The following is a 15888-nucleotide window of genomic DNA, read 5'->3' on the forward strand; positions in this document are numbered from 1 at the left end:
TTTTATTATGAATGGTTGTTAGATATTGTCTAATGCTTTTTCTGCATATGTTGATATGATTATATTATTTTTCTTCTTTAGGCTAATGATGTGATAGATTACATGAATTAATTTTCAGTGTTAAACCACTGCAGCCTCGCATACCTAGGATAAATCCTACACGGTTGTGGTGTTTACTTTTTTATATACATTGTTGTATTCTGTTTGCTAATATTTTGTTGAGTATTTTTGCATATATGTTCATGATAAATTTTCTGTAGCTTTCCTTTCTTGTAATGTCTTTGGTTTTAGTATTAGCATAGTGTTATCCTCGTAGAATGAGTTAGAAGTATTCCCTCTGCTTCTATTTTCTGGAAGAGATTATAGAGAATTGGCATCATTTCTTTCTTAAATGTTTGGTAGCATTCATCAGTGACATCATCCAGACCTGGTGCTTCTGTTTCGGAAGGTTATATATTATTGATTTAATTCCCTTAGTATGCATAAGCCTATTCATATTATCTGTTCCTTCTTGTGTGTGTTTTGATAGAGGGTGCCTTATAATAAATTGGTTCATTTCATCTAAGTTATCAATTTTAGGGGCATAAAGCAGTTCTTAATGCCTTTGCTACTCTTTTTTCCTGTGCCTATACACTCATCAAAAGTGAAACAAACCCATTACCACCTGTTCAATGGAGCCAGAGTGCCCCAGTTTTCTGAACTGTACCTTATATCTCTTATTGTAGTTATTTTCTTTTTTTTTTTTAAAGACAGAATCTCTCTTTGTCGCCAGGCTGGAGTGCAGTGCCGCGATCTTGACTCACTGCAACCTCCGCCTCCCAGGTTCAAGCATTTCTCCTGCCTCAGCTTCCCAAGTAGCTGGGACTACAGGCACATGCCACCACTCCAGCTAATTTTTGTATTTTTAGTAGAGACGGGGTTTCACCGTGTTGGCCAGATGGTCTTGATCTCTTGACCTCGTGATCCGCCCACCTTGGCCTCCCAAAGTGCTAGGATTACAGGCGTGAGCCACCGCACCTGGCCTGGTAGATATTTTCTTTTTTTCTTTTTTTTTTTTTTGAGACAGAGTCTCGCTCTGTTGCCCAGGCTGGAGTGCGGTGGCGTGATCTCAGCTCACTGCAAGCTCTGCCTCCCAGGTTCACGCCATTCTTCTGCCTCAGCCTCCCGAGTAGCTGGGACTACAGGCGCCCGCCACCACACCTGGCTAATTTTTGTATTTTTAGTAGAGACGGGGTTTCACCGTGTTAGCCAGGATGGTCTCGATCTCCTGACCTTGTGATCCGCCCACCTTGGCCTCCCAAAGTGCTAGGATTACAGGCGTGAGCCACCGCGCCCGGCCTTTTTTTTTTTTTTTTTTTTTTAATGTTTTTGTTTTTGTTTTGAGATAGGGTCTTACTCTGTTGCCCAGGCCTGGAGTACATTGACATGATCTCAGTTCACTGCAACCTTGGCCTCCTGAGCTCAGCCTCCCAAGTAGCTGGGGCTACAGGTGTGCACCACCACGCCCAGCTTATTCTTTTCTTTTTTTATAGAGATGGGATTTCGCCATGTTGCCCAGGCTGGTCTCCAATCCTGGGCTCAAGCAGTTCTCCTACCTTGGCCTCCCAAAATGCTGGGATTACAGGCATGAGCCATTGTGCCTGGCTGTATTTTCTATTGTAACTATTTCCTACGATACATCTCTACTCTACTCTACTCTTACTATACATTTCCACTCCACTCCACTCCACTCTACCCTGAACCTCTTATAAACATAGACCGTTTCTTACTCGTCTTCATATCTCCCTGCCACCTAGCATGTAGTAGATACTCAATAAATATTTGAGTAATTTGAATGCACATGATGAAGTTTAATAGAATTTACACATTAAATAAATAACATGAAGGAATGAAATTTCAGCTACTCTGGATGCTCAGCTTTATTGGCTTTGTATTTAGTAATTACTAATGGAGCACTAACTACCATCTGAACAGAAGAAACAGTTAAATACCAGAAAGCATAAAATGGTTATAATGATATTACTAATATTTGAGAGTGTACTGTGTGCCAGTATGTATACTGATACTTACTATATACCATGTTTAGGCTTTTATATATATTTTCATTTAATCTTCACAACAACCATGTGAAATGAGTGGTGGTATCTGTATTTCACAGATAAGCAAAGCAAATCACATAGAAGTTAAGTTTATTGTCCATTGTCAGTGTGACTAAATGAAGGCACTTAAATACAAACAGCAACACCCAGACTTTTAGACAATATGCTATACTGCTATGTGACTATGCTGATTAAAGGAAGGGGAAAATCACTAGTGTTATAAGAAACCATCTTAGGGTGTAACTATTTCTGTGTAAGAGGTATCATGTCATTGCTTTGGAAAAGGCATAATACTTTGTGATGATATGGAGTATTTTAAGAGTATATACGAGAGGACTACCTAGGGAAGGAAAAAAATGTATACCTAAGTTAAAGCACTGCCCTGAGTATCGGCATTTTAGTAACAATATAGTGATGGCCTTTTTTTTTTTTAAGAGATGAGGTCTCACTATGTTGCCCAGGCTAAAATGCAGTAGTTAGTCACGGCATTCTAGTGGGCTCAGTCACAGCACACTACAGCCTCAAACTCCTGGCCTCAAGTCACTCCTCAAGTGACTACAGACGTGCACCACCACGCCAAGGCTCAGTGATAGCTATTCTCCATGACAGTCTAGCATAGTGATTAAGAGCAGAGACATTGGTAGCTTGAGTTCAGTTCCTAGCACTGCCTCCTAGTAGCTTTGTGGTCTCTGGCAAATTTCTTAAGCTTTTTCTTCATCTATTAAATGGGGATAAAAATAATACCTACCTTTAGGGTCATTGTGAGGATTTGAATGAGTTGGCACATGTAAGGTACTTAGAATAGTTCTTTATAAGATGTCATGGTTAGGATCACAGACTTGGGAGACAGAGTGGCAGCATGGTTAGTTAACAGTATCTAACTTTGCCGGGCGTGGTGGCTCACGCCTGTAATCCCAGCACTTCGGGAGGCTGAGGCAGGCGGATCACGAGGTCAGATCGAGATAATCCTGGCTAACATGGTGAAACCCTGTCTCTACTGAAAATACAAAAAATTAGCCAGGTGTGGTGGCGGGTGCCTGTAGTCCCAACTACTCCAGAGGCTGAGGCAGGAGAATGGCATGAACCCAGGAGGTGGAGCTTGCAGTGAGCCGAGATTGCGCCACTGCAGTCCAGCCTGGGGGACAGAGTGAGACTCCGTCTCAGGAAAAAAAAAAAAAACAGTATCTAACTTATATTTCCTGGCACAGTATAAGAGGTATAAAAGTATGATTTATAATACTTTATAAAAGTATTATTTATAGAATTTGAGAAATCGTATTTCTGTACTTTTATAAATTTTCCTGCATGATTTCAAAAGAGAACAACCAGAAACCATCTTTTCCTGGCAAACAGAATCTTAGATAATATTTCTTTTTCTTTTTTCTTTTTTTTTTTTTTTTTGAGACAGAGTCTCTCTCTGTCGCCAGGCTGGAGTGCAGTGGCATGATCTCGGCTCACTGCAACCTCCGCCTCCCAGGTTCAAGCGATTCTTCTGCCTCAGCCTCCTGAGTAGCTGGGACTACAGGTACGCACCACCACGCCTAGCTAATTTTTATATTTTTAGTAGAGACGAGGTTTCATCATGTTGTCCAGAATGGTCTTGATCTCTTGACCCCGTGATCCGCCTGCCTCAGCCTCCCAAAGTGCTGGGATTACAGGCATGAGCTACCTCACCCAGCTGATATTTCTTCTATAAAGAAATAAAAATACAAAATAAAAACCAGTAAAGTATTAAACTACTATAGGCTGGATACAGTGGCTCACACCTGTAATGCCAGTACTTTGGGAAACAGACACGGGAGGATTGCTTGAGCCCAGGAGTTTGCGATAAGCCTGGACAGCATAGTGAGACCCTTTTTCTCCAAAACATTTATTTATGTATTTGCTCTGTTGCCAGGCTGGAGTGCAGTGGTGCAATCTCGGCTCACTGTGACCTCCACCTCCCAGGTTCAAGTGATTCTCCTGCCTCAGCCTCCTGAGTAGCTGGGAGTACAGGAGCGTACCATCATGCCCAGCTAATTTTTGTATTTTTTGTAGAGACAGGGTTTCACCACGTTGGCCAGAATGGTCTCAATCTCTTGACTTCATGATCCTCCCGCCTTGGCCTCTCAAAGTGCTGGGATTACAGGCATGAGCCACTGTTCCCAGCCTCTCCAAAACATTTTTAAAATTCAGCCAGCTGTGGCAATGTGTGCCTGTAGAACCAGCTACTTGGGGGAGAATCACTTGAGTCCAGGAGGTTGAGGCAGCAGTGAGCTGTGATCATGCAACTGCACTTCATCCTGGGTGACAGAATGAGACTCTGTCTCAAAAATAAATAAATAAATCACTATAAATAATGTTTTCAGTGGGAAATATTCTGAAGTGTGCAAAGGAACAAAAATGCAATTGTTCCTGATGCATTATCCCCTTTAGTTCAAAAGTGTTTTCTGTTACCAAAAAAACGCATAGTAATCCCTTTTAAAGTCATTTTGAGCCCTTTAAAAATAACACATTTTTGGCCAGGAGCAATGGCTCACACCCGTAGTCCCAGCACTTTGGGTGGCCAAGACAGGCACATCACTGGAGCCCAGGAGTTTGAAACCAGCCTGGGCAACACAGTGAAATCCCATCTCTACAAAAAATTAGCTGGACATGGTGGTTGGAGCCTGTAGTCCCAGCTACTTGGGGGTCTGAAGTGGGAAGATTGGTTGAGCCCTGGAGGTTGAGACTGTAGTGAGCTGAAATTGCGCCACTCCACTCCAGCCTGCACGACAGAGAGGGACCTTGTCTCAAGAAAACCTCAAAAAACAGAACAAAAACACCACACATTTTCTACTCCAGACCAGTGGTTTTTAACCTAGAGAGATTTTTGCCCCTAGATGCATTTGGCAATGTGAAGAGATGTTTTTGGTTGTTATAACACTGGGGATTGGGGATGGGGCAGGGATGTGCATCCTACTTGTTGTATCTCATGGGTAAAGGCCAAGGATACTGTTTAACATTCTGCAACAGTGATCCCCAACTTTTTTGGCACCAGGGACTGGTTTTGTGGAAGACAGTTTTTCCACGGACCTGTCAGGAGAGAAGGGGAGAAGGGGAGATGGTTTTGGGATGATTCAAGCACATTACATTTATTTGCACTTTATTTCTATTATTATTACATTGTAGTGTATAATGAAATAATTATACATCTCACCATAATGTAGAATCAGTGGGAATCCTAAGCTTGTTTTCCTGCAACTAGATGGTCCCATTTGGGGGCAATGGGAAACAGCGACAGATCATGAGGCATTAGAGTCTCATAAGGAGCCTGCAACCTATATCCCTTGGATGCTCAGTTCACAGGTTCATGCTCCTATGGGAATCTAATGCCACCACTGATCTGACAGGAGACAGAGCTCAGGTGGTAATGTGAGCGATGGGAGCAACAGTAAATACAGATGAAGCTTTGCTTGTTCGCCTGTCACTCACCACCTGCTGTGCAACCTGGTTTCTGACAGGCCATGGGCTTAGGGGTTGGGGATCCCAATCTCCAGTGCACAGGACACCTCATACAGCAAAGCATTATTCATTTCTAAATGTTAGTAGAGCTGAGGTTGAGAAAACCATGCTCTGGACTAAAAAGGGGTTAATGACTTCCCCAAGGTTATATTAACTTAGGAGAGGGCCTGAACTACAGACATGCACGTAGCATCTAAGTTCAATATCCTTAACTAGAACAAAATAAGTAAATTTTTAGAGACCTAATAGTTAATAGTGCCTGTTTTTCTTTATCTTGTTTAGGGTTTGTGAAACAGGATCTGATAATCAACCTCTTGGTAATAATCAACAATCAAATTGTGAATATTTTGTTGATAGCCTTTTTGAGGAAGCTCAGAAGGTTAGTTCCAAATGTGTGTCTCCCGCTGAACAGAAGAAACAGGTAAATAAATGTCTATTACTTTTCTTTTTCTTTCAGTGTTTCTCAATATATGGACCTGTTAGAGGGTCCCTAAGGTCAAAATTGTTTTGTTTGAGACAAGGTCTTTCTCTGTCACCCAGACTGGAGTGCAGTGGCTCGATCTTAGCCCACTGCAACCTCAACCTCCTGGGTTCAAGCAGTCCTCCTGCCTCAGCATTCGCAGGTAGCCCGGACCTCAGCACACACCACCATGCCCAGCTAATTTTTTTATTCTTTTGTAGAGACGGGGTCTTGCTTTGTTGCCCAGGCTGGTCTCAAATTCCTGGGCTCAAGTAGTTCTCCTGCCTTGGTTTCCCAAAGTGCTGGGATTATAGGTGTGAGGCCAAAACTGTTTTCATAATAGATATTGTTTCCCTTTTTCACTATGTTCACAAGCTAGGCACACCTATAATCCCAGCACTTTAGGAGACTGAGGCAGGAGGATCACTTGAGCCTAGGAGTTAAAAACCAGTCTGGGCAATAAAGCAAGACCCATCTCTACAAAAGAATAAAAAAATTAACTGGGCGTGGTGCCATGTGCCTGTAGTCCCAGCTTCTTGGGAGGCTGAGTTGGGAGGATTGCTTGAGCTCAGGAGTTTGAGGCTGCAGTGAGCCATGACCGCACCACTGCACTCCAGCCTGGGTGACAGAGTGAGACCCTGACTGATAAGGTAAGGGTAAGGTAAGGTAAAAAAATAACTGTGTTCACTTTGCACTGATATTGCAAAAGTAGTGGTGGGTAAAACTGCAACACCTTAGCAGGAATCAAGGCAGTGGCAACAAACTGTGCTAGCAGTTACTGGTTGAACATCCCAAATCCACTGAATCCAAAAATCCAAAATGCTTCAAAATCCAACATGTTTTCAGTGCTGACATGATGCTCAAAGGGATGCTTATTGGGGGCATTTCAGATTTTGAGTCTTGAATTTGGAAAGCTCAACCAGCAAATATTTCAGAATCTGAAATTCAAAACCCTCTGGTCGCAAGCATTTCAGATAAGGGATATTCAACCTGTACTTTATTCTTTGCGTATACTTCCAAGGGGAAAAAAAAACTAATTTTAATTAAGAATGTCCTTGATGCAGTAGAATTTATAAATTTTGTTTCTTGACCGGGCGCGGTGGCTCATGCCTGTAATCCCAGCACTTTGGGAGGCTGAGGCGGGTGGATCACGAGGTCAGGAGTTCAAGATCAGCCTGATCAACATGGTGAAACCCTGTCTCTACTAAAAATACAAAAAGTAGCCGGGTGTGGTGGTGCGTGCCTGTAATCCCAGCTACTCAGGAGGCCGAGGCAGGAGAATCGCGTGAACCTGGGAGGCGGAGGTTGCAGTGAGTTGAGATTGCGCCACTGCACTCCAGCCTGGGCGACAGAGCTAGACTTGGTCTCAAAATAAATAAATAAATTAATTAATTAATTTTATATCTCAAACCTTGAATACACATGGTAATATTCTGTGTGACAAAATGTGAAGTATACATAAAGTATTTCTACAATATACAGAAGTGTCTCAAGGAAAGGTGCAGTTATTTGAGATCAATAAACTGTCTGCTTTTTCATGGCATATTGTTTCTGCAAGAAAGAATGGTTTACATACAGACTATGGATATTCCAACTCACTCTGTCACCCAGGCTGGAGTGCAATGGCACGATCTCAGCTCACTGCAAGCTCTGTCTCCCAGGTTCAAGCCATTCTCCTGCCTCAGCCTCCCTAATAGCTGGGATTACAGGTGCGCACCACCATGCCTAGCTAATTTTTTGTATTTTTAGTAGAGACAGGGTTTCATCATGTTGGTCAGGCTGGTCTCGAACTCCTGACCTTGTGATCTGCCCACCTCAGCCTCCCAAAGTTCTGGGATTACAAGCGTGAGCCACCGCACCTGGCCTGGTAGATATTTTCTTTTTTTCTTTTTTTTTTTTCTCTGAGACAGAGTCTCGCTGTGTCGCCCAGGCTGGAGTGCAGTGGTGCGATCTCTGCTCACTGTAAGCTCCGCCTCCCAGGTTCATGCCATTCTCCTGCCTCAGCCTCCCGAGTAGCCCGGACTACAAGCGCCCGCCACCACACCTGGCTAATTTTTTGTATTTTTAGTAGAGACAGGGTTTCACAGTGTTAGCCAGGATGGTTTCAATCTCCTGACCTCGTGATCTGCCCGCCTCAGCCTCCCAAAGAGTACTTGGATTACAGGCGTGAGCCACTGTGTCCAGCCTTTTTTTTTTTTTGAGATGGAGTCTTGCTCTGTCACTCAGGCTGGAGTGCAGTGGCACAATTGGCTCACTGCAACCTCTGCCTTCTGGATTCAAGCCATTCTCCTGCCTCAGCCTCCCCAGTAGCTGGGATTACAGGCATGCACCACCACGCCTAGCTAATTTTTGCATTTTAGTTGAGACGGGGTTTCACCATGTTGGACAGGCTGGTCTCAAACTCCTGACCTGGTGATCCACCCACCTCAGCCTCCCAAAGTGCTGGGATTACAGGCATGAGCCACCGTGCCCGGCCCTGCCTGGTAGATATTTTCTAATAATGAATGAAGTGAGCCTGGCACTTCAAGGAAAACAACTTATAGTAGCTGTTGAAAATGATTAATTTTTTTTTTTTTTTTGAGACGGAGTCTCGCTCTGTCGCCCAGGCTGGAGTGCAGTGGTGCGATCTCGGCTCACTGCAAGCTCCGCCTCCTGGGTTCATGCCATTCTCCTGCCTCAGCCTCCTGAGTAGTTGGGACTACAGGTGACCACCACCACACCTGGCTAATTTTTTTTTGTATTTTTAGTGGAGACGGAGTTTCACCCTGTTAGTCAGGATGGTCTTGATCTCCTGACCTCGTGATCCGCCCGCCTCAGCCTCCCAAAGTGCTAGGATTACAGACTTGAGCCACCGTGCCTGGCCAAAAAATGATAAATTTTTATTTAACCAACTTTTTTTTTTTTTATTTTGAGACGGACTCTCGCTCTGTCGCCCAGGCTGGAGTGCAGTGGCGTGATCTCGGCTCACTGCAAGCTCCGCCTCCCGGGTTCACACCATTCTCCTGCCTCAGCCTCCTGAGTAGCTGGGACTACAGGCACCCGCCACCACGCCTGGCTAATTTTTTTGTATTTTTAGTAGAGACAGGATTTCACCATGTTAGCCAGGATGGTCTCGATCTCTTGACCTCATGATCCGCCTGCCTCGGCCTCCCAAAGTGCTGGGATTACAGACGCGAGCCACCGCGCCTGGCCTTAACCAACTTTTTAAGTGAAAATAAGACTTTTAGAAAATTGCCACTATAGGCTGGGCTTGGTGGCTTACGCCTGTAATCTCATAGCTTTGGGAGGCCAAGGTGGGTGAATCACTTGAGGCCAGGAGTTCAAGACCAGCCTGGCTAACGTGCTGAAACTCTTTCTCTACTAAAAAATACAAAAATTAGCTGAGCTTGGTGATGCACGCCTGTAATCTCAGCTACTCAGGAGGTTAAGGCATGAGAATCACTTGAACCAGGGAGGCGGAGCTCGCAGTGAACCAAGATCGTGCCACTGCACTCTAGCCTGGGTAACACAGCAAGACTGTCTCAAAAAAAAAAAAAGAAAAGAAAAAGAAAGCAACCATACCTTGACAGCTTCTCAAAACTTAAGGAATTTCCTAGTGAGATTAGTGTCATTTTGATAAATATAAATTTTTTTATATAATTAAATGTGTCAGCAGTTGGAAGATCTGCATAATCAAGAAAACCAGTATTTTCCAAATGAGCAATATATGATGTTATACAGTGATGCATGAGTAAAAGAGCCAAAGAATCACATATACTAAAAGACTTTAACGTAACAAGTATATGAAAAGATGGTTGGTAAGTTTCAGATTCCACATTCAGATTCTCAACTAACTTTTGAGATACTACTACTACTTATTACATTTTGAAGAAGTGTCAAAGAAGATTATCCTGGGAAGGCTATTAAAATACTTCTTTTTCTAACTACATAACTGTATGAGGTTTGGTTATTAAAAAAAACATTTCAATCAAAATAACATGTCAAAGCAGACTGAGAGCGGTACCAATTATGAGACCCCAGCTGATTTTTTGACGTGAGACATTTTAAAAAGTGTTTGTGAAAAATCCTTTCACTCTGATTCGCTTTTTAAATTAAAACTTAATCTATTAGTTGTGAAAGGCTTATGTTGAAAAAAGGCTTATGTTAAAAAGCAGACTTATTACTCCTTGACCCTAGCATCTACTTTCTTTTTTCGTTTTTTTAAGATGGCGTTTCACTACTGTTGCCCAGGCTGGAGTGCAGTGGTGCGATCTCATCTCCCCACAGCTTCCACCTCCTGGGTTCAAGCGATTCTCCTACCTCAGCCTGGGATTACAGGCATGCACCACCATGCCTGGCTAATTTGTATTTTTAGTAGAGACGGGGTTTCTCCATGTTGGTCAGGCTGGTCTTGAACTCCTGACCTCAGGTGATCCACCTGCCTTGGCCTCCCAAAGTGCTGGGATTACAGGCGTGAGCCACCACATCTGGCCACATCTACTTTCCAGAGGCAACAGCTTATAACTCTTAGATATTTCTACTGACATGAGCTTTCTGTTTCTGATAATATGCTAATAGTGATAGTTATTGATTTTTCAGATTTTTGAATTATGTATTCACTTCGTATTATACATAATAAGGATTTAGCTCTTTTTCTACCTTCCCCCTCTCCTCAGATCACCTCTTCCCATTCTTCTAACATAGTTGTGTCACAATTGGGGATTAAATCAATTGTTATTTATATCTGTAAAAGTGTAAATACTGTACAGCATAAGCGGGAGCTACCGCGCCTGGCCCACCAGTTAAAATTTTTCTAAGGGAAGATTGCGGTGAAACCCTTCTTCCTTCAGTGGATTGGTTGTCGACTAGGGGAGCTCTACTGCTCTTGCTCTGGAATCTATGATCCTGAGTATTCTCTCTCCTGATTACTCAATTCTGTGCCTCGCCCAACATCGCTTCCCCCTTATATTTTAATGTTTATGAAGCCAGTTGTAGTAGTCCATTTTTACGCTGCTGATAAAGACATACCCGAGACTGGGAAGAAAGGAAATTTAATTTGACTTAGTTCCACATGGCTGGGGAGGTCTCATAATCATGGCATCAGCAGGAGAAAATGAGCAAGAAGCAAAAGTGGAAACTCCTGATAAACCCACCAGATCTCGTGAGACTTATTCACTATCACAAGAATTGCATGGGAAACACGGGCCCCCGTGATTCAATTACCTCCCCCTTGGTCCCTCCCACAACACACGGGAATTCTGGGAGATACAATTCAACTTGAGATTTTGGTGAGGACACAGCCAAACCATATCAATGATTTTGATTTTTTGTGGAAACTGGGTCTCGCTATGTTGCCAGGGCTGGTCTCCAACTCCTAGGCTCAAGTAGTCCTCCTGTCTTGGCCTCCCGAAGTGCTGGGATTACAGGAGTGAACCACCCCACCCGGCCTGAATAGTGATAGAAGAAATTTTCAAAGGACTTTCAATCCTACTACATTTTATTAACATGACGCATTTTGTTTCCTACTGTTTTGCAGGTAGATGTAAATATAAAATTATGGAAAAACGGATTCACCGTCAACGACGATTTCAGAAGTTATTCCGATGGTGCCAGTCAGCAGTTTTTGAACTCCATCAAAAAGGGGTGAGTAGCCAGGTGTGGTAGGTCAAGCCTGTAAACCCAAAACTTTGGCAGGCTGTGGCGAGAGGATTGCCTGAGCTCAGGAGTTCAAGGCCAGCCGGGGAACATAGCCAGACCTCATCTCTACTTAAAAAAAGAAAATTACCAGCCAGCCCAGCTACTCAGGATTGCTTGCACTTGGGAGACTGAGGCTACAGTGAGCCATGCTTGCACTACTGCACTCCAGCCTGGGCAACAGCACGATGCCCTGTCTCCAAAAAAAAAAAGGCGGGGGTCGGGGGGGTGGGGGTGGGCTTGGTGGCTCATGCCTGTGATCCCAGCACTTTGGGAGGCTGAGATGGGGAGATCACCTGAGGTTGGGAGTTCGAGACACCAGCCTGACCAACATGGAGAAACCCCATCTCTACTAAAAATACAAAATTAGCCGAGTGTGGTGGCACATGCCTGTAATCCCAGCTACTTGGGAGTCTGAGGCAGGAATTCACTTGAACCCGAGAGGCGGAGGTTGCAGTGGGCCAAGATTGCACCATTGCACTCCAGCCTGGACAACAAGAGCAAAACTCCATCTCAAAACCAAAGCAAAACAAAAAAAACAACGAGCTGGAATGAGTAATCTTTGTAATCAGAAGATATTTTAGGCATTGTTTTGGTGAAAGAATCCATTTTAATGTTCACACACTCCCTACACATTCACAGATATACTTTTTCTTTTGTACATTCACATTTTTATAAGATGAATTTTCTTAAGAGAACCACAACTACAATTTTTTTTTTCCCGAGATGGAGTCTTGCTCTTTTGCTCAGGCTGGAATACAGTGACATGATCTCAGCTCACTGCAGCCTCCGCCTACTGGGGTCAAGTGATTCTTGTGCCTCAGCCTCCCGAGTAGCTGAGATTACGGGTGTGTGCCACCATGCCCATCTAATTTTTGTATTTTTTAATAACAGTTTCACCATGTTGGCCAGGCTAGTCTTGAACTCCTGACCTCAAGTGATCTGCCCACCTCTGCCTCCCAAATTGCTGAGATTACAGGTGTGAGCCACCACGCCTGGCCAACAAATATAATTTTGAAGAAAGTTTAGGAACTTGAATTCTGATCAACCCAAATCTTACTTAAACTAATTTACTTTACTAAGTATTTTCTAATACCTCATTTTCTTTATTATTTAATTTTGTTTAAATGTTTAAATATCTTTAAAGTCTTTAAAATGGTCATGGTAGAAGTCTCTCTGACCCTACTCTGGCTTGGGAGGCTGCCCGATTCATGAATAAAAATTTTAAAAGAATCTGCCGGGCACAGTGGCTCATGCCTGTCATCCCAGCACTTTGGGAGGCCGAGGCGTGCAGATCACGAGGTCAGGAGATCGAGACCATCCTGGCTAACACGGTGAAACTCTGTCTCTACTGAAAATACAAAAAAATTAGCCAGGTGTGGTGGCGGGCACCTGTAGTCCCAGCTACTTGGGAGGCTGAGGCAGGAGAATGGCTTGAACCTGGGAGGCGGAGCTTGCAGTGAGCCAGGATCACGCCACTGCACTCCAGCCTGGGCAACAGAGCAAGACTCCGTCTCAAAAAAAAAAAAATTTTGTTTTAAAGAAAAAAAATTGTAGCTGGGCACGGGGGCTTACGCCTGTAATCCCAGCACTTTGGGAGGCGGAGGCGGGTGGATCACGAGGTCAGGAGTTCAAGACCAGCCTGGCCAACATAGTGAAACCCCGTCTCTACTAAAAATACAAAAATTAGCCACGCATCGTGGCACGTGCCTGTTAGTCGCAGCTACTTGGGAGGCTGAGGCAGGAGAATTGCTTGAACCCAGGACGCAGAGGCTGTGGTGAGCCAAGATCACAGCACTGCACCCCAGCCTGGGTAACAGAGCCAGATTCCATCTCAAAAAAAAAAAAATTGCAATGTTTACTATATATTTATGAATCTAAGTATTATACATGCTTGGTCTAGAAAATTTTTTTAAGTATTAAGAACTCGAAAATCAGCCAGGCATGGTGGCTCATACCTAATCCCAGCACTTTGGGTAGCCAAGGTGGGTGGATCACCTGAGGTCAGGAGTTCAAGACCATCCTGGCCAACATGGGAAAACCCCATCTCTACTAAAAAATACAAAAATTAGCCGGGCATGGTAGCAGGCGCCTGTAATCCCAGCTACTTAGGAGGCTGAGGCAGGGAGAATTGCTTGAACCCAGGAGGCAGAGGTTGCAGTGAGCTGAGATCATGCTACTGCACTCCAGCCTGGGCGACAGAGCGAGACTCTGTCTCAAAAAAAAAAAGAACTTAAAAATCACTTATAATTTAACCACTCTGAAGTAACTGCTGTTAACATTTTTGTTGAATTTCATTTTATCATTTTCTGTCCATAGATGCATATATACTATGTGTACATTTATTTTTAAAACAATTTTAAATTCATCATTATAAAATATTTGAATATATCTGAGTATTATTTTATCACAACAGTGCCCCGTAATTTTTATATATACTTAATTGTTCTTGGCAACATAGAGTTTTTTGTTATTATGTTTTTTGAGGCTGGAGTGCAGTGGCACGATCATAGTTCATTGCAGCTTCAAACTCCCCGTCTCAAGTGGTCCTCCTACCTCCGCCTCCCAAATAGCTGGAACGATAGGTGTATGTCACCATGCCCAGCTAATTTTTTTTAATTTTTAGTAAAGATGAGGTCTTGCTGTGTTACCCAGGCTGGTCTCAAACTCCTGATCTCAAGCAATCCTCCTGCCTCGATCTGCCAAATTGCAGGGATTACCAGCGTGAGCCACCACGCCCAGCCAAGTATTTTAAATTTTACCACTATGAAAAATATTTTTGACTATTTTCTTTTATTTATGTAAAAAAAAAAACCCAGCTATGTTTAGATATAATTAACCTACCATAAAATTCATCCCTTTGAAGTATATAGTTAAGTATTTTTAATATGTCTACAGTTTTACAATCATCAGCACAATCTAATTTCAGAATATCATTATTGAAAAAGCCGAATATATTGCTGAAAGAAAAAAAAATCAGATACTAGAAGTCACTCTCCATTTTCCCCTGCAGCCCTAACATAACCATGAATCTACTTTCTGTCTATCTCTATGGATTTCTGTCACTATGTATTTACCTGTTCTACTCATTTTCACATTTTGGGCTATTATGAATAATGCTACTATGAACATTTATATACAAGTTTTTGTGTGGTCATATGTTTTCATTTCTCTCAGGTATAAATCTAGGAGTGGAATTGTTAACTCTTATATTAACTTTATGAAGAACTGCCCAAATGTATTCCAAAGTGACTGTACCATTTAACATTTCTACCAGCTATGTATGAGGCTTCCAGTTTTTCCACATCCTAACACATTAGCTTCTGTTTTTTTAAATTATAGCCATTTTAGTGGTTGTAAAGGGGTATGTCATTCTGGTTTTGATTTACATTTCTCTAATGACCAGTGATGTTGAGTGTCTTTTCATGTGCTTATTGTCCATTCGTACATCTTCTTTGGAGAAATTCCTGTTCAAATCCTCTGTCCAGTTTTTTTATTTGTTTGTTTGTTTGTTTTTTTGAGACAGAGTCTTGCTCTGTCGGCGAGGCTGGAGTGCAGTGGCATGATCTCGGCTCACTGTAACCTCCGCCTCCCAGGTTCAAGTGATTCTTCTGCCTCAGCCTCCCAAGTAGCTGGAATTACAGGCATGTACCACCACATCCGGCTAATTTTTGTTTTTTAGTAGAGGCAGGGTTTTACCATGTTCGCCAGGCTGGTCTTGAACTCCTGATCTCACGTGATTCACCCGCCTCGGCCTTTCACAGTGCTGGGATTACAGGCATGAGCCACCGTGCTCAGCCTGTTTATATTTTCAGGTGGTTTATTTGCCTTTTTGTTAAGTTGTAAGAATTCTTCATTTTTTCTGAATACAAATTCCTTATCAGATACATGATTTGCGAATATTTTCTCTCATTCTTTGAGTGCCTTTTAACTCAAACAGAAAAAAATAAAACAATTACCTAGAATTGCTATATGTATACAGTGGTATTTATTCACTAAAATATTTTTTAAACTTTCTTATTGAAGTATGGCTTATATACACAAAGGTACAGGCCAGGTAGGCCAGGTGTAGTGGTTAATGCCTGTAATCTCAACACCTTCGGAGGCCAAGGCAGGAGGATCATTTGATCCCAGGAATTAAACCAGTCCGGCCAACATAGCGAGAACCTGTCT

The 15888-nt window shown here is 42.9% G+C and overlaps 1 protein-coding gene across 10 annotated transcripts in view; it reads left to right on the plus strand.

Moving 5' to 3' along the window:
* The window catches only part of UBXN2A (UBX domain protein 2A), a 77632-nt gene that overhangs the window by 38134 nt on the left and 23610 nt on the right, over positions 1-15888 (plus strand). For all 10 annotated transcript variants that reach the window (XM_005264168.6, XM_011532633.4, XM_005264166.6 and 7 more), the window contains 2 exons: positions 5865-6003; positions 11558-11664. In XM_005264168.6, the coding sequence (XP_005264225.1) occupies positions 5865-6003; positions 11558-11664 (246 nt within the window). The remainder of the gene's footprint in view (positions 1-5864; positions 6004-11557; positions 11665-15888) is intronic.

This window comes from Homo sapiens, chromosome 2, assembly GCF_000001405.40.
Source record: "Homo sapiens chromosome 2, GRCh38.p14 Primary Assembly".
NCBI lineage: Eukaryota > Metazoa > Chordata > Mammalia > Primates > Hominidae > Homo > Homo sapiens.